We start from the raw sequence: 21,071 nt of genomic DNA on the forward strand, positions 1-21,071 counted from the left end.
CAATTAACTTCTGCATAGAAAATTATCCCCAAACTTAGCATCTTTAAAACAAGTGCTACTTAGTTCCTGATCCTGTGGATCAGCAATTGGGCTGGGCTCAGCTGGGTGGTTCTTCTGATCTCATTGGGCTCACTCATACGCCTTTGATTGACTGGTGGGTTGGCTGGGGGCTGGAGAGTTTGAAAGACCCCAGCTGACTCATCACTCTACTCCATGAGGTCTCTCCTCCTCCAGCAGGCCTGTCTTGGTTTGTTCACATGGTGATGGCAGAATTCCAAGAGAGAGCACAGTATTGTGCAAGGCTTCTAGGCTTGGAAGTAATTAGCATCCCTTCTGCTATTCTATTAGCCATAGCAAGTCACAAGACCAGTACAGATTCAAGGGTATTCCTCTCAGTGAAAGGAGCTGCAAAGTCACATTGCAGGGGATGTGGACACTGGGAGAAGAAAAATTATGGCCATTTTTGCATTCTGCTACCCAGTTTCAATAGCTATTGGTAATCGCTTGATTGCCTCATGTAGAATAATAATGTAGCAGAATGAGACATGAAATCTCAGAAATCGGAAGATTCTATCCAAACGAATCAACCCATAAATTCAGGGAGTCCAGCTTTCCTCTGCAAAAAGAAATTCCCAATAGGAGCTTGATTGTTCCTCTTTTGCAACTATACAATCAAAAAACAGTTGCTTATTTAGCTGGTCATCTCAAGACTGGTCCATTCCAAAAAATGAGACAAGGCAACTGATGAAAATATTCAACATGATAGAGTGACATAAATAGAAGAGCAAATCAGGCTAAAAGAAAAATTAAGGAAAGAAATATAAAATTAAGTCAGGAGACAGTCCCAAAAGTACGTCCTACCATTCTGTAAAGTTGCTATGGAGGTAAGCTGCAAATATGACGTCTGAGCTCCCTGACAGACAAAGCAAAGAGGAAAATTACTCCCTCATTTACTACATTATTAACAAAAAAAAGATAAGAATTGAACCAGTTGCTCAGAAGAGCAGCTATTTCAGGTTTTTAATTCTATGAAAAATGACTCAGATGGCTCCACAGAAAAGGGACTCTATATGGTGCAGTGAATGGAAATTCTGATAATATCCTTTCAAAGTATCCAAAAACAGGTTTCATCTTGACTCTTTCTTATATCTCTCAATGCATAGCCAAAGCATAAGTTGGCAAAAGCACATTTTTCCAGTGACCATAGCTGGACACTGCTGAGGGCACTGAGAAGGGAAGAGCTATTCCTGCCCCTGTTTTCTAAAAGTGGGAGGCATTAACAGAAAGCAAAGAAGACTAGGAGGAGCATAAGGATTAGTCATGTAGATGCACAACAATATAGTCTACAAAAATCAAGAGCACTTTGAAACCAAACAGACGTGAATTAAATTTGGCTTAGAGGCAAACAGTCCTGGGTTCACATCTCTTACCAGCTGTGTTTAGCGAAGTGCATCATCTCTCTGTGCCTCTGTTTCCCCATCTATAAAATGAAATTGATAATAGTACCTAACCCTAAGATGTGTTGAGGATTAAATAATACACACAAAGCACTGGTTCAATGTCTGGCACATAATAAAATATGTCATAGTCATAGCTAACATTTCCTATGTCCTGTCTAATTGATACTTAGCATAGGTGCCAATATGCTATGTGATTTACCCGAATTCACTCATTCAATTTACAATTGTCTAGGGTAAGGACTATTATTACCTGCATTTTATAGACAAGAAAACGGCCCAGGGAAACGAAATCATCTGCCAAGGTCACACAGCTAGTAAGTGGCCAGGATAGTAGGCACAAAATAGAAGTTGTTGGTATTATTATTAACCACCGGTGGGGAGGGGCTTTCATTCTTTGATCGGGGCCCAGTTCCTCTGCCTGGCTTCCAGAAAGAAAAAGGTCACTGCCCAGGGACCCGCTGAATAAAGCTCAAGCCGTCTTGGATAACCCAGGCGGACACTCAGCAGGCTCCTCAGAGGCTGTTACCTCTCCCCCAGGTCCTACTCCCGCTCTCCCAGCTATTCCTCCAAGTCTGGCAAGAGGAGCCCGCCCAGCAGAAGCTCTAGGTCCCGCCGCAGCCCTAGCTACTCCCGCTACAGCCCCAGCAGGTACCGGCCCCGCCCCTCAAACTAGGCCCGTCCTAGGCCCCACCCCTTTGCTCTGATCCTCCTCTCTGGCCCCGCCTCCCCGTTCTCGGGCCTTCTTCCTCTTAGGTCTGACCCTGACTCAGCATTCTTACAGTTCCCTTTGTCCAATCAGGAGTGGCAGCGAGGCATCAAATACCCTTGTTTCCTAATGTCTCCAGCCCAAACAGTCCCGCAGACATACCCCAGAATTCACATCCCCAGCCCTCAGCCTCTACAGACCGTCCCCATATTCAGAGCCCCCAGTTCTTACCCACGCACCAGGGCCTGCGTAACATTCACGTCCTCACCCCTGCAGCACCTGCCCTGCTATGATGCCCACCTGCAAATGCTGACACCCCTGCACAAGCCCAGCCCCCACCCCTACGGTACTAACAACCCTCGCAGACTCTTACCGCAGCCCCGTCATCCTCCCTCCGGTCTCCCTTGCGGCAACGTGCAGACCCCATCCCGTGACCCAGTGGGGTGGGAAAGAAAGGGAGTGTCCCTCTCCCACGCGCTCACGCAGAAAATCCAGCCCAGCCCCAGCTCCCCAGTAACCCCCCGCGCCCCTTCAGGGAGCGGGATCCCAAATACAGTGAGAAGGACTCGCAGCAGCGGGAGCGCGAGCGAGCGCGTCGGAGACGTCGGTCCTACTCGCCTATGAGAAAGCGCCGGAGAGACTCCCCGAGCCACCTGGAGGCCCGGAGGATAACCAGGTGAGGCCAGGGGGCAAGGGGGACCCACCTTCATCCTCGTTCCCACTCCCATTCTTACTCATTCGAGCCTCAGGCTCTCCCTAGGCCTCCTTGGGGCTGGGATTTAGGATTGTGCGAGCTTATGGTCCCCCCAACCCCAACATCATTGAAATTACGTGTCTGTTCAAAGCCTTGGGACTGAGTCTCCCAGCTCAACCAGCAGGGCCTGCAAGAAGGGGGCGGGGCCAGCCTGAAGAATCGGGTGTGGCATGGGGGAGTGGCCAAAGCCTGAGGGTGGAGCTGGGGCCGGGGAGGTGGAGCTGGGGCCGGGGAGGCGGAGCTGGGGGAGAGAGTGGCGTCAGGCCAGGGAATGGAGGCCAAAGCAATGGAGCAGGACCTTGGCCTGGTGGTGGATCCCGAGCAGCGGAGACAGACCTCTACCCTCAGACCTGTACACTCAGCTGTCAGGCTTAAATAAACCTATATGTAATTATACCTTGAACCAAGTGTGGAAAGGACAAACAGGATTGCTTAGTTCCCAAAGGGACCTAGAGGGAGCCACGGTGGATAAGCCGGAGAGCACTGGATGTGGATTGGAATCCTGAATGTACCACTTTGCAGGTGACCTAGGAAAGGCTCTTACCTTCCTGAGCCTCAGTTTTCTCACCCATGAGATATTGGAAGAAATAACTCCCAGAAGCATGAGGATGAAATGAAAAGGGGCAAAAAGATGTGAACGTGCTTTGTAAACTTGAATGCAGAGTACACAATGTGCCATTGTTGATTGAATGGTCAGAATAGGTGGATACCGTTCCTGGAACAGGTAAGGCCTCAGAAGAGAAAAGCTCTAGCAGAGAAGTCTGAGTGCAAGCAAATTTCTCAGGCCTTGAAAGCTGGGAGAATGATTGAATGCTGCCCTAAGATTGGGTTGGGCTCTTCCTGCTGGCCTTCCAGGCATCTGCCACTCAGTCCAGACACTGGACTGAGGAATCAGGGATTCTCCCTGGAGATGACCTGGAGGAGGAAAAAGAATGTGTTTCCCAGATAGCAAGGCTGGGGTGATGGGTCCCCTTCTCCAATATCCCACAGGGCACCCTGCCTCAGCTTGTAAAGAATTCCTAAACCCTTGGGAGGCCAAGGCAGGCGGATTGCTGGATCTCAGGAGTTTGAGACCTGCCTAGGCAATATGACAAGACCCTGTCTCTACCAAAAATACAAAACACTAGCCAGGCATGGTGGTGTGCACCTGTGGTCCCATCTACTTGGGAGGCTGAGGTGGGAGGATCATTTGAGCCTGGAGTGGGGTGGAGGTTGCAGTGAGCCGAGATCGCACCACTGCATTCCAACCTGGGTGACAGAGCGAGACCCTGTCTGAAAAAATGTAATTAATATAATATAATACAATATAATTCCTAGCATAATTTCTAAACCCACTCCCTTGATCCAGTGTCACACAGCTATTAAGTGGCCAGGATAATAAGCACAAAATAGAAGTTGTTGGTATTATTATTATCTTTGGGGTCAACCTAGAGGAAAGCTAAGATAGAGAGTGGCATTTCCAAATGGCTGTCTAGTTTCTTTAGTCAATCTCAAATAATTCATCTTGATTAACCCATTCAGTGTTTCCCAATCTTTAGTCATTCACCAGTATCTTGACCACATATGACTTGTCTGTTTATCAACTGTACTATTCTTAATTTTCTTTAAATAGATATGACTCTTTTCAAAGGTTCATACATTTATTTCTAAAGGAAACGATACAGTACAGTAAATGGAAAATTAGCCTCTTTTGCCATAAATAGATGGTTCTAGTAAAAGTAAAAATAGGAAAACAAAACTATGATTAAAGTTTAGATGTAGATTCTGTTGCAAGCTGAAGGCTCTGAGCTCCAGGCTTGCTTCATGGGGGAAAGAAAAAAGTGAGATAATCATTTTTCAAGACATACTAGCACTAAGCTGAGACTTTTACTTTGATGTGTTCTCAGCACTGCAAGAGAAGTGGAAAGGGAGTATTTTTTCCTAAGGGACTGGGGAAAGGGAGGATATTGGTTTCCCTTGGGACAAGACTGGGGCTCGCTGCGGGGAGGCACGGAGGGGCCGGCCCTCATCCCTCCTCTCTCTGGTCTCTGCAGTGCCCGGAAACGCCCCATCCCCTACTATCGGCCCAGCCCCTCCTCATCCGGCAGCCTCAGCAGCACCTCCTCCTGGTACAGCAGCAGCAGTAGCCGCTCGGCCAGCCGCAGCTACTCCCGGAGCCGGAGTCGGAGCCGGAGCCGGAGACGGAGCCGGACCCGCACGAGCAGCAGCTCTAGCTCCCGCAGCCCTAGTCCGGGCTCCCGCAGCCGGAGCCGGAGCAGGAGCCGGAGCCGGAGCCGGAGCAGGAGCCAGAGCCGGAGCTACAGCTCAGCAGACAGCTACTCCAGCACGAGGCGCTAAGTGCCCCTGAGCCAGCTGCCCGTGGGGGCCCCTTCGCGCTGCCAGCCTCCCCCAACCACCTGCCCTCCCCGCCTTCTTGGTGACAAATAGTGAGGGCTCCTATACCTTGTCCTTCCTGCTTGCCTAGGGGAAGAGGAGAAGAGGGTAAGGGGGCTTCACTCTCTAGATCAGCCTGCTAGGAGCCTCTACCAGCATCATCCTGGGGCCCAGCTCAGGCCTGGGCATATGGAAAGAACCATCATCTTGTGGCACAAAAAAAGAAGAAAGAAAAGAAAACTTCAAGGTTTTGTGAGAAGCAATGGGTCTGTGACTCAAAAATTGAGCCCTGGCCAGGAAAATGTGGAGACAGTTCTTCTCCTCCACTGCTCACAGGAGGCCCGTGGTAATTCTCCCCACCTCCCCGGATGCCCCACTAGTCCAACTTCATGGCTGCACGTGGATGGACCCCCATGTCTGAGAGGGGTGAAAGAGGAGACCAATGGCAGTTCAGGTTCAAGATAACGGGGTCAGGCCTTTAACTTCCTCAAACAGGCCCAAGCAAAGGCTGGAAGACATTTGGGTCCTAGAAGAAGGGATATCCTTGAATACCAGATGGGGACGTTTGACTTGGTGGGAGGTGTCAGGAGATAGGAGTTGGTTAAGATGATAGATAGAAAAACGGAAGGGTTCAGCTGCTGCTCCCAATACCTCAGCATGGTAAGGGGACAGAGCCCAGCAGATCCCAGCTGTGAAGAGGCCACTGCATGGCTGACACAAAACACCTCTTGGCCATTCACAGGGGCCCTGCAACCTCACGAGAAAGGAGATAGTGGAAGAGTCAGGACAGGTTGGTCTCCAGCCCCACTTCCCAAATATGCCTCAGCCCCACTAGCTGGCACCAACTTAATTCCACGGGACCATCTGCTGAACATTCCCCAGTGCCATGGCCAGTTGCCAGGCCCCAGCGCCAGCCAGTCTGGCCTTACCCTCCGGTTGGCGCCTGCCAGCCCCCTCCCCTCTGCCCAGGCTGCCACGCCCTGGATGCCACCCAGTGCAGCCTGGCACCTACCCACCCACCCTTCAGCTTAAGCCACTCCCCTTGCCTCTCAGGAATTTTGCCAGGATGGGGCACAGCAGCTCAGGTTTGGGGGAAAAGACCCGAATCCAGAGTGCAGGGGAGAGGGGCTTGGATATGCCATGTCTTGGGCTCCTGCTGGCTTCTGAGGTTTCTTGTCAGCTTGGGAAAGACCCACCTTTATTTTTGCCCTCACCCCAAGTCCCCCCTGGCTGGGGCTGGGCAGAGAGGGTAAGCTGATCTCCGATCCACAAATACCACCAGCTGCTTCATCCACAGAAGGCGCTAAGAACGGGGAGGTGAGGAATAAGATCCTTAAAATAAACTCTTGGGCATCCCCCTCACCAGCTGACTGGCTTTCCGGAGGCTTGTGGGTGAGTTTCAAGTTTGTGGTGGCAACAGCAGCAGGACAGGGCACGGAGGGAGCGAGGGAGAGAGGACCGGTCCCAGCTTTTGGATATTTTGGGTTATGGGGAAGCAAGGGCCAAACATTCTTTATCCCTCCCACCCCAGGGAAAACATTTGGAAAATAGTCCTTTTTCTTGGAAGCAGTGACGTCTCCCTACCCAATCTTTCCCATCCTATCAACCCATGGGGCTAGAGACTGCCATGCAACCACCACCACGACAGCCCTTCCTCCATCAGAAGACAGGAGTGAGGGCCCCGGGCAGCAGTGGACGACCCAGCCTCCCCATACCGGGCCTCTGGCCCAGACCTAAGCCCTGCCCACAAAGACTAATGGATGCCAGTGCTGTCACTGCAGAAGGCCAGATGGCAGGTGCCTGGGACAGGGGCAGGTGCCCCGGGGAGGGCAAGTACAGCCACTGTAAATAACCCTCGTCCCTGCCCAGGAACCCAGACTGGACTTCAGTCTCCCTCCATGGAGACAAAGGCTTCCCAGAGCCACCAAAAACCTTCTTAGCAGGACAGCTGTGAGAGGCATCAGAACCTCACGTTCGGACTGCCTTCATCAAGACAACTCTAGGGGACCATTTTGCCTGGGGCTCCTAGCAAACCTTTTTATTTATTTTATTTATTTATCTATTTATTTATTTGATGACTGTCTCTCTTTCTCGCCATTAGCAGTATTGAATTATTTATTTATACAGAGGTTTTGTGTGTGTGTGTGTGTGTGTGTGTGTGTGTGTGTGTGTGTGTGTGTGTGTTGGGGGGATCTCCTAAATTATTTCTGTGCATCTCCTTTTTTTTTCTGCTGTTTTTTATGGATGGGATTTGAGAGGCCAAAGGTGAGTGGGCTATTGGCCTTCTCCCTGAAGGCTCTAAGCCTGGAACACCCTGGGGTTGGCCCAGAAGGAGGCACATCAGTCCCAAAATTCATCACTTAACCCAGCGTCCAGGAGGGTCAGGCCTGTACCCCAGCCTCCTGTCCCCCAGGAACCTCACAGGGGTATCAAAAAGATGTAAACAGCCCAGAGGCTTATGAGCTACAGTGATGAATTGACACAGTGGAGTTGCAACTTAGGTGGGGGTTGGAGTCGAAAGTTGGCAAATGGGGCCAAGGCTGCACAAAGTCGAAATCCCTTGTGAATGTCCCTTAGGGAGGCACCAGATTGGAGACAGATGTGCTATCTCCTAACAGAGTGATGAGGCTTCAGTTGAGTACTTGCTGAAGTAGTTGCCTTGTATTTTGAGGGCCATGGTGGATGAAAATGATGTCTGGTTTAGTACTGGAATTGCACTTGGGGTTGACAAGGTGCTCACACCATGAGAATGGAGGCAGGAATTGAGCTGACTGAGGGAAGATGCACCTTGATCTCACCCTCACTCCAAGGCACATAGCAGGATCACTCCCTAGCTTCTCTGAGCACACCTAGTTGGTTTCATGTATGTTACACATGCTTCCACTCCACAGTACCTAATTTCTCTCTGTCCCCTGAGATCTGAAGGCTACCTTGGGAAGAGGCATCAGCCATCTTGCTTGAGAACCACCAAGCCAAAAGCAAAAGCTTTTATCTATGATCTCTTGCTGTTTCATCAGGGGAAAGCACAAAGCTATTTCTGAAATTAGGAAAAAAAAAAAAAAGGTGGAAGGAGCAGCCAGATGTTCCACAGGACCCCACCAAGAAGGTCATTTCCAAACCCATCCTGGAAGGGCCCAGGATCCAAAGGTCATCAGTCCTGCTTATCTGACCAACTGGCAGTGTCTTCTGGCTGCTGGCCGGAGACAGCTCTTGCCCTTTCCAAAGTCACTGTCCACTGCCTTGCAATTGCCAGCTTGTCTGGTCCAGCTTTGGGTTTGGTGAGACTTTTGCAACATCCCTGGTTGTTTCCCTGGCAATGTGACTATCCAGCCCTAACCCAAAGCAAGGGAGTGCCCCTTTCCTGGGTGAAGTTTACAAGAAGGCTGCTTAAATGCCTGCTTCGGGGAAATCTCTGCCTCTCTCTCTCTCTGTCTCTCTCTCTGTCTCTCTCTCTGTCTCTCTCTCTCTCTCTCTCTCTCTCTCTCTCTCAGTGTATTTCTCTACTTTCTTTTACATTTCCTTTTTTTCTATCCAAAAACAATGTGCTTGTTGAGGCACTGGTAACCCTGATTAACCAGAACCTCCCATTCCCAGTATCGCTGTTCCTACGCCCATTTCACCCTCATTACCTTCTGCTTCCAAGGAATATGACAGATCACCAGGATGCTGCTCGTCGTGAGGATTTATCTCAAAAACCAACATCCAAAATGGGAGGGAGATGTGGCTTGAGGTCAAGCGCCATGCATCCCAAGCCTTTGACCTTCCCGCTATGGAAGTGCACTGGATGACAGAAACTGAATACATTGCTCCCTTTCCCTAGGGCAAAGTTCGACCTCTGTTAAGTGGAGGGATTTGTGAGATAAAAATTCAAAATGTTGGCCTGAGGCCTGAGAGTGTCACCAAAGACAGAGGGAGCTTCACTGAGACTCAGAGGGAAAAGGAAAAGAGCCTCAAACATTTTTAGGAGGTTGTCCATCATGAAAGTAAAAACGAAAAGCAAGATTTGATCTCCCTTCAGTTAATTAGGCAAGGCTAAGTAACTCAAAGCCCCCTATTAGTAACATTCTGGTTCACTGAGGTTTGATCATATTCCTATCTGCATTCCTTCCCTTCTTTGAAGGACAGCTGATCTTTCAGAAGCAGAATAAAATTAAGATGTTAGAACAAAGGTCTCAGTCTCAGAGAACCGCATCACTTCATTTGCTCAGACCCATCCTCTTTTGCAAAAGGGTCTGCTTGGAGAGGCCAAAATTCAGGGTGCTCTCAAAGGCAAAGAAAGCACATTGTTTTCCTTCTCCAGTCCAACTTTCATCTTTTCTTCTGCTGTTTTCTTTTCCCCTCTTCTTTTTCACAAATGTTCAAAATGGTCTCATGCGCATGTGTCTTGCCCCACTTTCCCCTTTAGCTGAACAGAAAATTTTGTCTCAGTAAAACGAAGTCAAAAAACAGGATTCCTCCAAACATGCCTCCTCCCGCACTGGCCAGCCGAGTCCAGCTGAGAAACTTATGCTAGATTCAATGTCATTGAGCAATGCTTTATTGAAGTCTCGTTCTTCTCACTTCTGCACCAGTGAGCCAATGATACTGACAGAAATGTCATCTCTCTTCTATCTGTGGTTGCTGTTTTTGGAGTAAAAGTTTCTGTGTGTGTTTTTTTAGTTCTTTTGATGGCTGTTGTTTTGCATTGTAAATACCATGATGGGGGACCCCCATCAGAACATGGCTTATTTAATAATTTATTTCGTATTTATTGAGTAATATTGGGAAAAGAGAAGGACCACCTCTTTCCCTGAATTGCTATTGAGAATTGGTCCATCTCCCAGCTCCAGGTGCTGCTGTCTGCAGCAAGGGCATTACTGCCCAGGTAAGGAGTGCTAGAATCACCAAGCAAATTGAAATTGGCAGAAATGGAGGCTTCAGTCACACAAATTAGACTCAAATGGAACTAAAACACTGGTTATCTCCAGGAAAACCTCATTTAGATGGAAATTAATGGAAGAATAAAATGCCTACACATGAACCAACTTCTATTAAAAAGTCACAACTCCTTGAAAAAAAAAATAAAGAAAAATTGTAAACTCTTTTTTTTTTCTGGCCAAGGAAAGCTATGCCTCATCTTCTAACGAGCCAAGCCAAAAAGACTGCAATGGTATTCCTATGTGTTTCTTTGGCCTGTGTATCAGTCTGAATGAAATGGAATGGGTCTCTAGCCTCAGTCTTGTCATCTGTAAAATGGGGCTTGTCCTATATATTATCTGCAAGACGTGGGAAATGGGGGCTCAAGCCCTGATGCTATGGACTCCATACTGTTGGATATATTGTCTCTTGTGTCTTCTGCTGACTGCAGATTAAAGGGTGTCAACCAAGGAAGGAAACAAAAAAGTAGGGCCTGGACTTCATTTGCAGAATGAGGTCATAGTCGTTGAGTCCCACAGTCATATATGGGAGACCTCAAGTTGCTGTCACCTTGATAACTCTTGTATCCTGGGTTAAAGCCCTCTGTATTTAGTTTGAACTTCTCTCTAAGCCCCGTGGTCCAAAGTCATCACGGGAGAGACCAAGATGGGCTTACCTTGCCCTGCTCTGGATTTAACCATTGTTCATTGTCAGGCTATATTTTTGTACAATCATTCAAATAACCCAGTGACATAGGTCATATTGCCACTTTTCAGAGGAGAAAACTGAGGCTCAGGAGGGGGAGTTGACATGCCCAAGCTCCCTTGAGCTCAGATCAGCTTGACTCAATGTCCAACATTCCCTTGGTAGCTTTTTCTCCGGGGTCCTGTGCTATAAGAACTTCTCTCTGCACTGTATTTTTTTTTCTCCCAATTCTTAGCTATTTCCTCAAGCAATGATTGGCCAAGGACCTAGCATAATCCACCACATTGGCCAAGGGGACGTGGTGCACCCCAAGGCCATTTCTCTGCATTGGAGGCTGCGAATCTCCTCTGGAAAATTCCCAACCCGAGGACCCACCATGAGCCCAGCTCAGCCTGACCAGACAGCCTCTGCCTGGAGCATTCACATCAGATGGAAAGAAGCTGCTGTGTCCTCCAGCATCCTGGGACCCTGTCCTCTGCCCAGTGACACAGCAGCCATGGCTAGCTTGATTTCTGGTCTCCAAAGCTAAGCATAACCTTCCCGGGGTTTCTGGTTTTTCAGCCTGTACGAAACATGTCTCTGTTCTAATTAAAGTTCCCATGGTATGGTGTTCTCATATATGGCTCAGTGTTCTCTGTTTATATGGGGTACTCAGAATTAAAAAATGGGGAGGGAAACAAGGAGCTAGAGAAGACTTAAGTAGCACCTGCTGCGTGTCATACATGTTCACACTACTCAGCTCACATCTTTAATCTTCCAAACAAACCTGTATGTATTTTGGGTTTTTGGTTATATATACAGCATATATACCAAATATATACATGTTATATATATATATATATATATGTGTGTGTGTGTGTGTGTGTGTGTGTGTTAGTAGCAGCTATGGAGTGCCTTAGGCAACCTTTTTGGAAGCATTTTATATGTGTTATCTTAGTATTCAGCAACAACCAACCCTATGAAGTAGGTATTAGGAACTTCTTCTTACAAATAAGGAAACTGAGTCTTAGAAAAGTAAAGTCACCCAGGCACAGTGGCTCACGCCTGTAATCCCAGCACTTTGGGAGGCTGAGGTGGGCAGATTACCTGAGGTCAGGAGTTTGAGACCAGCCTGGCCAATGTGGTGAAACCCCATCTAAACCCCTACTAAAAATACAAAAATTAGCTGGGCATGGTGGTGGGCACCTGTAGTCCCAGCTACTCAGTCACCTGAGATACAAGAATCACTTAAACCTGGGAGGCAGAGGTTGCAATGAGCTGAGTTCATGCCACTGCACTTCAGCCTGGGCCACAGAGAGAAAACCCATCTCAAAAAAATAAAAAGAAAACAAGGAAAGCAAAGTCACTTGCCCAGGGACCACAGAATCCAGAATTGATGATAACATCCAGGCAGGCTAACTCCAAAGCCCAGGTTGTCAACTTCTTTGCTCTGTAGCACTCCAGTATGTGTAATGAGTAACCAGAGTTCTTTGGTGGAACTCTTTTTCTCTGAGATCTTCTTCATGGGTGGGAGGAAGGACACAGATTTTGGAGTCCAAAGACCTAGATTCAAATCTAGACCCTGCCATTACCAGCTAGGTGGTATTGGGAAAGCACTATACACCTTGTTGGTGCTTGGTTGGTTTGCTCATTTGTAAAATGGGATAGCAACAGCCACCTCCCTGGGATGCTGTGAGAACTAAATGAGATGGTGGCTTTAAAAAACAATGAGGCACCAAAAGTAGTCAGTGACTGTTAATGAGCAACATGACTATTTCCTCAACTGAGACTGATCTGTGGTGGTGCAGATTAAGTAGATAGCCCAAAGTAGCCAACTTGGATCTGCAGGAGCCCTGCAAGGCCCTGTGGAAATGTCCTCAGTGTGGAATTAAATTGTTTCTTTCCCTCCAGAGCAGGGACTGAAAACACCCCCAGGGACTGACAGGTGAGGGAAGCAGATAAGGTTAGAACTGTGGGGAACTGGAGAACTCAGTAGACCAATGCCAGATAGAAATCTCAGCTCAGAGTTGCCAAATCTTCCCATTTTTCAAGAGAGCCTGAATTTTTCCATTTTAAAATCTGATTTTAAAATATTTATAACTTATTGTTTTTTCAAACACTATGTGGGTCCAAAACCTTACACACAGACACACACACACACACACACACACACACACACACAGTCCACAATTGAGTTGATTCTCAACTGGGGAGAAAGATCAAAGAAAACAGGTGACTGCCACTGCTCCCCTTGTATCCTGCCCAGCAGAAATTTCCCTTAGGAGTCATTGGATGGGATAACCTCCTTTGAGTAAATCCATGACTATATACCACCCTCCCCAAGTCCCCCCAACACACTGATTTCTTTCTTCCCAAATAGGTTTGGATAAAGCAACAACCAGTGTCCTCCTCTGAGGTTCCATCAATAAATAATGGTAATTAATAATAATAAACATTTATGGATCAGTTACCACCTGCCATGCCCTTTGCGTGCATTAACTTACCTCCTTTGGGGAGGGTTACCTAATTTTTTTACTTTTAATTTTTGGGGGGTACATAGACTTATTTCATTCTCATAACAACATCATTTAGCCCCATTTGACAGAGGACAAAATTGATGCTTATGGAGGGAAGACCACATAGCTAGTAGGTATTTAAACTTAGGTCTGTGGGCTCCAGGGCTGTTTCTGCTACACCTCTTTACCCCCTGAGGGGGGATCTCTATCAACTCAGAGCTAGCCATCGTTAAGGGCCCCTGGTAACTTCTTCCCATAAATTGTGGCTGCCAGGAGACTGGAGGATGCCTGCACCTTTCTATCTCCTGCTCCAGCCCCCAGTTACCGGAATCCATGTGTTTGTTTCTCCAGCAATTGCTCTCAACAGGCACTTCTCCCAGCCCAGGTGTCTGGGCTGCAGAGGAGAGAGACATCCTTCTGGAGATATCTCTCTCTCAGGCCAGATTAACAGCTGCCCAACGATGGAGCGGAGGTGGCATGCATTCAACACCACCGCCTGGGCAGCCCTGGGGACACACACAGCCCTTCCATGGGGTGAAAGCAAAGGCATAAGCAGAGGGGCGGGAGGAATATGGGAAAAATCCTCCCGAGAGGCAGGGACCAAGACTTGTTGCATGGCCCTAAGTTAATCAAGCCCCTCTCTAGGACCTAGTTACTCTACCTGTTAAAAGGGAATGCGCTAGACCAGTGGTCCACAATCCTGGCCAGACATTAAAATCATCTGTGAACTTTACAAAACCACATATGCTGGAGTTCCACCCCACCCCAAATAATAAGAATCTCTGAGGGTGACATTGATGTTTCTAAAAGGCTCCCTAGAGCATTCTGATATGAAGCCAGGATTGAGAGTCACTGAATTAGATGGCACCTGAAATGCCGTCCAGGTGTGGTATCCTAGGTGTGCTACTGGATGTCATAAAGGGGACAATAAAACCAGCACAAAAAGCACCCAACACATATAGAGCCTGCCATGTGCTAAGCATGCTTCTAAGTTCTTCACATATATGAACATAAATTATATATTCACTGCCACGACATCCTTATAAGGTAGATAGATACAATTTTTGATGCCTATTTTGCAGATGCAGAAACTGAGGCACAGACGGTTTTCCCCAGGTCACACAGATAGTAAGTGGTAACAGCTGAATGCTAGGGTAAAAGTGAGTCCAAAGAGGCACGTGAAACAGCCTTGTGGGGTCAAAGAAGGCATCACAGAAAAAAAACTGACCTCTAGGTTGATCCTGGGAGATGAGTAGGTGTTGGTCAAGCAAAGGAAGGGTTAAAAAAGAGGAGGGAAAGGGGCAGGCACAGTGGCTCATGCCTGTAATGCCACCTCTTTGGGAGGCCGAGGCAGACGGATCACTTGAGGTCAGGAGTTCAGGATTAGCCTGACCAACATGGTGAAACCCCATCTCTACTAAAAATACCAAAATTAGCTGGGTGTGGTGGTGCATACCTGTAATCCCAGCTACTCCAGAGGCTGAGGCAGGAGAATTGCTTGAACCTGGAAGGAAGAGATTGCAGTGAGTCGAGATAGCGCCAATGTACTCCACCTTGGGTGACAGAGCAAGACTATGTCAAAAAAAAGAATCAGAAAAAAGAAGGAAGGAAAGAAGGAAGGAAAGGAAGGAAGGAAGGAAGGAAAAGAAAGAAAGAAGGAAAGAAAGAGAAAGAGAAAGAAAGAAAGAAAGAAAGAGAAAGAGAGAAAGAGGAGGGAATGGAGTCATCTCAGACAGGGGAAATTGAGTGTGTACAGGGCCAGAGTCAATGACACCCACCTGCTTCCCCCACCTCCCCAGCGTATTCCTTCCATGAGGCTTATTACCACCTATAACCAGTTTGCTTACTTGTTTACTTGTTTACTGCCCACCTCCATGAGGACAGGAGTCTTGTCCACCTCATTCATTCATCTCTGTACACCCAGCAGCATGTGGCCAGCTGTCAAGTGATTGAATTTGCCTGGAGTGCCAGCCCCGCTCCCTTCCAATACCCATTCATTCCTGAGCTGGTTAATTTTTAGCTTATGTCGGGGATGGGGAGTGGTACTAGGAGGACTGTGGCAAGGTTGTGACATGTCCCATACAGGGACTCTAAGGATCTCTCATGCACATTCTCTTCCCACCCTGGGAATGAGAGAAGACAGCATGTATGGTAGGGTAGACATGAGCACATATTGTTTGTCCAGCATTGTTGGAAGCACTGGATATATACCCTTAGATGAGAAAATGGCACAATTTTTAAAAGGCAGTGGCTGAAAGCAAGGACTTGTGAATCAGACAGACCTGGATTGGAGCCTAACTCTGCTACTTCCTCACTGTGTGTCTTTGTGTAGTGACCTAACCTCTCTGAGCCTCAGGTTGCTTATCTTTCCAATGGAAATAGTAAAAGAATCAATCTTATAAGACTGCTGTGAAGATTGGTAGAGGTGATGCCTGGAAACGACTTAGCAAAGTGTCTGACTGAGTGTTAGTTCCATTGTTACTGATCATTTAAAAAAAAGGGAGGGGTGGGCGTGGTGGCTCACACCTGTAATCCCAGCACTTTGGGAGGCTGAGGCAGGCAGATCACCTGAGATCGGGAGTTCGAGACCAGCCTGACCAACATGGAAAAACCCTGTCTCTACTAAAAATACAAAATTAGCCGGACACATGCCTGTAATCCCAGCTACTTGGGAGGCTGAGGCAGGAGAATCGCTTGAACCCAGGAGGCGGAGGTTGCTGTGAGCCGAGATCGTGCCACAGCACTCCAGCCTGGGCAACAAGAGCGAAACTCCATCTCAAAAAAAAAAAAAAAAATGGGTGGGGGGTGGGGGTAGATGCTCAGTCGCCTATGTAAGCTCATGATAATTTCTGGGAGGATTTCAGGTCACCTTGGCAAAAGATAGAACAGTGTCTTTTCCTACCTTTCATCACCGACAACACCAGATTCTCAAGAGAGGCACTCCCACCTGCCACCCTCCATAAGGATCTCTTCCTCTCAGAAGGATCTAAAGCCTCCGGAGAACTTGGCAATCTCCCTATGTAGATCCCCACCCTGATCTTTCATCAACATCTTCCACCCAAGTTGCTCTAGCATGAATCCATCAGTGGGAAGACACTGGGGCACTGTTCAGGCCTTTCCACCCATAGTGGGTTTACAAAACAGGTTTACCACTCCCTTGGAACGCTGTCACTCCACCATTGTATAGCTATGGCCAACCTATAGCCAGATGACTCATGGAAATTTTTCTTTTGGTCTTTTTTTTTCCCCCTTTGCCATGGAAACTTGTCAAATGTTTTCTGAAGGTATAACACCGTGTCCCTTAATACACTCTCAAATTGAAAACTAAAATAACACAAATCACATCAAATAGAGTCATATTGCCAAATGGAAAGGGGTTGGAATAGATGTACACACATACACACACACACACACACACACGCACACACACACACTGAGCGAGAGAGAGAGGATTTGTTTCTTCCCTTCAGTCTCTCTCACCTCAAAACCTATTTCTAGATCAAGGTATCTTAATCTAAAGAAAACCGTGCCCTCCTGCGCTTGGGCTTTGTAGAGTCTGTGAATCATTTGAAATTCCAAGCCAAGTTTTCTGTATTAAAATATCAGCATTTCAGTGCAGAGGAGGTATATATTTCCACCAGTTTTCCAAGGGATTCAACTCAATGAAACCTTCAGGATGCTTCCGCAAAACCTATCTTCATTCTCTCCAGATGTGGTGGAGTTTCTAGTTGCCTTCCAATAGCCATTCCCTCTTCATCCATAGTAATAAAAAACCCCAATTTATAACTGGGATTATAGCCACCCAGAATAAAGACTGCATCTCCCAGCCTCCTTTGCAGCTAGGGGTGGCCATAGCTGCAAGATGTCTGAGCTATAGACAGAATTCTTGGTGGTAGTGTCCAGAAATTTTTATGAAAGAGATTTGTCATGTGCTTTTTCCGTCTTCATCCCTTCCTTTTTCTTGCTGGCTGGAATGTGGACATGATTGCTGGAATGCATGCGACTCCCTGATTCATGAGGTGGCTTTGGGAATAGACTCCATATGGATAAAGCACTAAGATAGAAGCGGTCTCCAGCTTAAGGACATGGTGGAGCAGGGACACATATTAGCCTCAGACAGAATCTCTCTGGACTTCAATGTTAGGAAGAAATAAATTTATTCTCTTGTTTCAGCCACTGTTATTTTGACTGTCTGTTGTTCACAGCTAAAGCTACTCACAACTCAAATTCTAGGTGAAGCTAAGACAGTCCCCAGAAGGAATATCTTGTTCATCTCTCCTTCTCCATCTCTATACATCCTCCCCAGCTCCTCCAGTCTTCCTCCTGCTCCCAGAACAAAGCTTGAGAATGCTCTCAGCTGAACGCTCCTAAGAGCTGTCACTCCCAGACCTAGAAGAAGCTGTTTTCAAAGCAGTTGTCTGGCAGCAAAGTCACCAACTGGTCAAACCAGATTCTGCTCTGACTGCAGAGGTTTCTGGGAAAGGGGCCTCAAGATTACAGACCTTCCAGCTCTCCCTTTTGCAAAGATCTCAGAGCCACCCTCTGTATAAGGGGCTCATGTTGGAATTCTTCATAAATGCTCCAAACGGAGAGGAACATGTACCAGTTTCCCAGCCAGGCTCTAGACAGAGGAGGCAGAATGATTTACCCCTTAATATAATTTTAGCACTGGGAAAGTTCTTTTAAAGCAATACCAACAACCACAAAATTACAGAATTAGGAAGACTCTCCATCAGAATAAGCCAGGTTATGCTACAATAATAAATAAGTCCAAAATTTCAATGCCTTGAAAGAGCAAAGAACTCTTTCTCACCCGTGTCCATTGTGGGCCAGCAGGGTCAGTCTACTTGTTACTGATGTTGATGACTGTGATGTTGATGATCATAGGGCAGAGAGAAAAAGAACTCACCCGAGGGTCCTGCCTAGACACAGCCAAGATGCTCCCATGGGCTCCCAAGGTGCTTTGAACTGGCAGTGACAGACATCACTTCTGCTCACAACTCATCGGCCACAACTAGTTATATGGCCCCATCCAACCACGGTGGTATCAGGAAGTGCATTGCTACCTCACAGGTGCCCAGAAAGCAGGAGGAGGAAGAGAAACCAGAAATGTTTGGCAAACAGCACTAGTTACAACCTCAAACCACCCATTTCATTGAATCCTGACTATGGGTCAGGTACTGCTCTAGGTGGCAATGATACAGCCGTGAACAGTTAGACACAAGTCCCTGCCCTCTGCCCACATGGAGCTTACGTTCTAATGGAGGAAGCAGAGAAACAAATAACTAGAGATGTAAAATGTAACTATCAGTTAATGGCAAGTGCTGTGAAGAAAAGTAAACCAGCTAATGTGAGAGTGTGACTTACTAAGTCGTTAGAGAAGATTTCTCCGAGCAGTTGAAATTTAAGTAGAGACACAAATGAATGAAGAGACCTGCCTTATGGAGGGGGAAGAGTGTTCCAGTCTGTGGGAACAGCAGGCAGGAAGACCTTCAGGCAGGAACATGCTTGACTCTTCCATCTGAGGGTCAGAAATGGGGACCCTATGATTGAAGCCCGTGACCAGGGAGTGGGTATTAGCAGGAAATCCAATGAGAAGGGTAACCAGGAGCCTTCCTTTTTTCTTCATAAAATTTTGTAGTATTGTCACCAGAAATGGGTCCTGATCCAGATCCCAAGAGAGGGTTCTTGGATCTCACACAAGAAAGAATTCCAGGAGAGTCCATACAGTGAAACAAAAGCAAGTTTATTAAGAAAGTAAAGGGGCCAGGCATGGTGGCTCACGCCTGTAATCCCAGCACTTTGGGAGGCCGAGGCGGACGGATCACGAGGTCAGGAGATCGAGACCATCCTGGCTAACAAGATGAAACCCTGTCTCTACTAAAAATACAAAAAATTAGCCGGGCGTGGTGGCAGGCGCCTGTAGTCCCAGCTACTCGGGAGGCTGAGGCAGGAGAGTGGCGTGAACCCGGGAGGCGGAACTTGCAGTGAGCCGAGATAGCGCCACTGCACTCCAGCCTGGGCGACAGAGCGAGACTCCGCCTCAGAAAAAAAAAAAAAAAAAGGAAGTAAAGGAATAAAAGAATGGCTACTCCATAGGCAGAGCAGCCCTGAGAGCCACTGGTTGCCCATTTTTATGGTTATTTCTTAATTATATGCCAAACAAGGGGCAGATTATTCATGAGTTTTCCCGGAAGTGGGGGGGAAGGGCAATTTCTGGAACTGAGGTTTCCTCCCCTTTATAGACCATGTAGGTGTAAATATAACTTCCTTACGTTGACATGGCATCTGTAAAGTGTGATGGCGCTCGTGGGAGTGTCTTTTAGCATGCTAATGCATTATACTTAGCGAATAATGAGCTGTGATGACCAGAGGTCACTCTCATTGCCATCTTGATTCTGGTGGGTTTTAGCCGGCTTCTTTACAGCAACCTGGAACTTTGTGACCTGTATCTTGTGCCGATCTCCTATCTCATCTCAAAGACCTTGTGACCCAAGGTCTTTGTGACCTGTACCTCGTGCCAACCTCCTACCTCATCCTGTGACAGAATGCCTAACTTACTGGGAATGCAGACCAGCAGGTCTCAGCCTTATTTTACCCAGCCCCCATTCACCATGGAGTTGCTCTGGTTCACATGCCACTGACGGTATCTGAAATTCTTTCTATTGTTTATTTATTTTGTGAACCCCAAAAATCTGAGACATGTCTCAGTTAATTTAGAAAGTTTATTTTACCAAGGTTGAGGACACGCCTGTGATACAGCTTCAGGCGGACATGTGCCCAAGGTGGTAGGGGCACAGCTTGGTTTTATACATTTTAGGGAGACAGGAGACATCAATCAATATGTGTAAGATGTACATTTGTTCAGTCCGGAAAGGTGGGACAACCAGAGGACAAGGCGGGACAACTCAAAGCAGGGCAAGGGCTTCCAGGTCATAGGTAGATAAGAGACAAATGGTTGCATTCCTTCCAGTTTCTGATTAGCCTCTCCAAAGAAGGCAATCAGATATGTATATATCTCAGTCAGTGAGCAGAGGGGTGACTTCGAATAGAATGGAAGGCAGGTTTGCCCTCAGCTGTTCACAGCTTGACTTTTCCCTTTAGCTTAGTGATTTGGGGGACCCGAGATTTATTTTCCTTTTACAATCCGTTTATTGATACACATGAAAGCAGGGACTTTTGCCTCATTTACTGCTTCATCTCTAGCCCCTCGGCTAGTGCTTTCCAAGTGAGAACGTAACAATTATGGAATGAATGAATCCGTGAGTAAATGAACAGACTGTGTCTCCCACTCCCCGCATCTGCTCCTCCTCACATGTTCACTGAGTGGCACCACCATTCACCCCGTTGAAAGGTCTGAAAACCGAGACATTCATTTGATCCAAACTTCTCTCCCCCTCTCATCGCAATCAGCACTCAAAATGCTCCTGCTTCTTTAATAGATCATGATTTTATCCACGCTTTACCGCTCCTCAGCCAACAACCCAGCCAAGGTTGCCATTTCACTGGGACCACTACAACAGCCTCCTAACTGGTCTCCCTAAAGCCCCCAAAAGATCTTCTCCAAAAGCAGACGATGATTTTCCTGGAACTCAGTTCTCATCACAGCACTCTCCTCCTCCAAACAGTTCAATGGTTCTTCAGTGTGCTCGGGACAAAGTCTAACCTCTTAATAGAGTCTG

The 21,071-nt window shown here is 47.4% G+C and overlaps 1 protein-coding gene across 1 annotated transcript in view, besides 3 other annotated features; it reads left to right on the top strand.

Annotated features, from left to right (window-relative positions):
* Positions 1 to 11,510, top strand: part of SRRM4 (serine/arginine repetitive matrix 4) — a 181,511-nt gene extending 170,001 nt beyond the window's left edge. Inside the window, exons 11-13 of the mRNA NM_194286.4 lie at positions 1,998 to 2,108; positions 2,702 to 2,842; positions 4,954 to 11,510. Coding sequence (NP_919262.2) covers positions 1,998 to 2,108; positions 2,702 to 2,842; positions 4,954 to 5,257 — 556 coding nt within the window. The 3' untranslated portion in view covers positions 5,258 to 11,510. The remainder of the gene's footprint in view (positions 1 to 1,997; positions 2,109 to 2,701; positions 2,843 to 4,953) is intronic.
* Positions 2,098 to 2,630: an enhancer, noted in NCBI's record as "NANOG-H3K27ac-H3K4me1 hESC enhancer chr12:119591444-119591976 (GRCh37/hg19 assembly coordinates)". NCBI's record gives its function as "activates a minimal SCP1, AML or CMV promoter by ChIP-STARR-seq in naive H9 embryonic stem cells {active_cell/tissue: H9 hESC(naive)}" and the evidence as "EXISTENCE:reporter gene assay evidence [ECO:0000049][PMID:30033119]".
* Positions 2,631 to 3,161: an enhancer, noted in NCBI's record as "NANOG-H3K27ac-H3K4me1 hESC enhancer chr12:119591977-119592507 (GRCh37/hg19 assembly coordinates)". NCBI's record gives its function as "activates a minimal SCP1, AML or CMV promoter by ChIP-STARR-seq in primed H9 embryonic stem cells {active_cell/tissue: H9 hESC(primed)}" and the evidence as "EXISTENCE:reporter gene assay evidence [ECO:0000049][PMID:30033119]".
* Positions 14,943 to 15,443: an enhancer, noted in NCBI's record as "H3K4me1 hESC enhancer chr12:119604289-119604789 (GRCh37/hg19 assembly coordinates)". NCBI's record gives its function as "activates a minimal SCP1, AML or CMV promoter by ChIP-STARR-seq in naive H9 embryonic stem cells {active_cell/tissue: H9 hESC(naive)}" and the evidence as "EXISTENCE:reporter gene assay evidence [ECO:0000049][PMID:30033119]".

The sequence above is a fragment of the Homo sapiens genome, chromosome 12, assembly GCF_000001405.40.
Source record: "Homo sapiens chromosome 12, GRCh38.p14 Primary Assembly".
Taxonomy (NCBI): domain Eukaryota; kingdom Metazoa; phylum Chordata; class Mammalia; order Primates; family Hominidae; genus Homo; species Homo sapiens.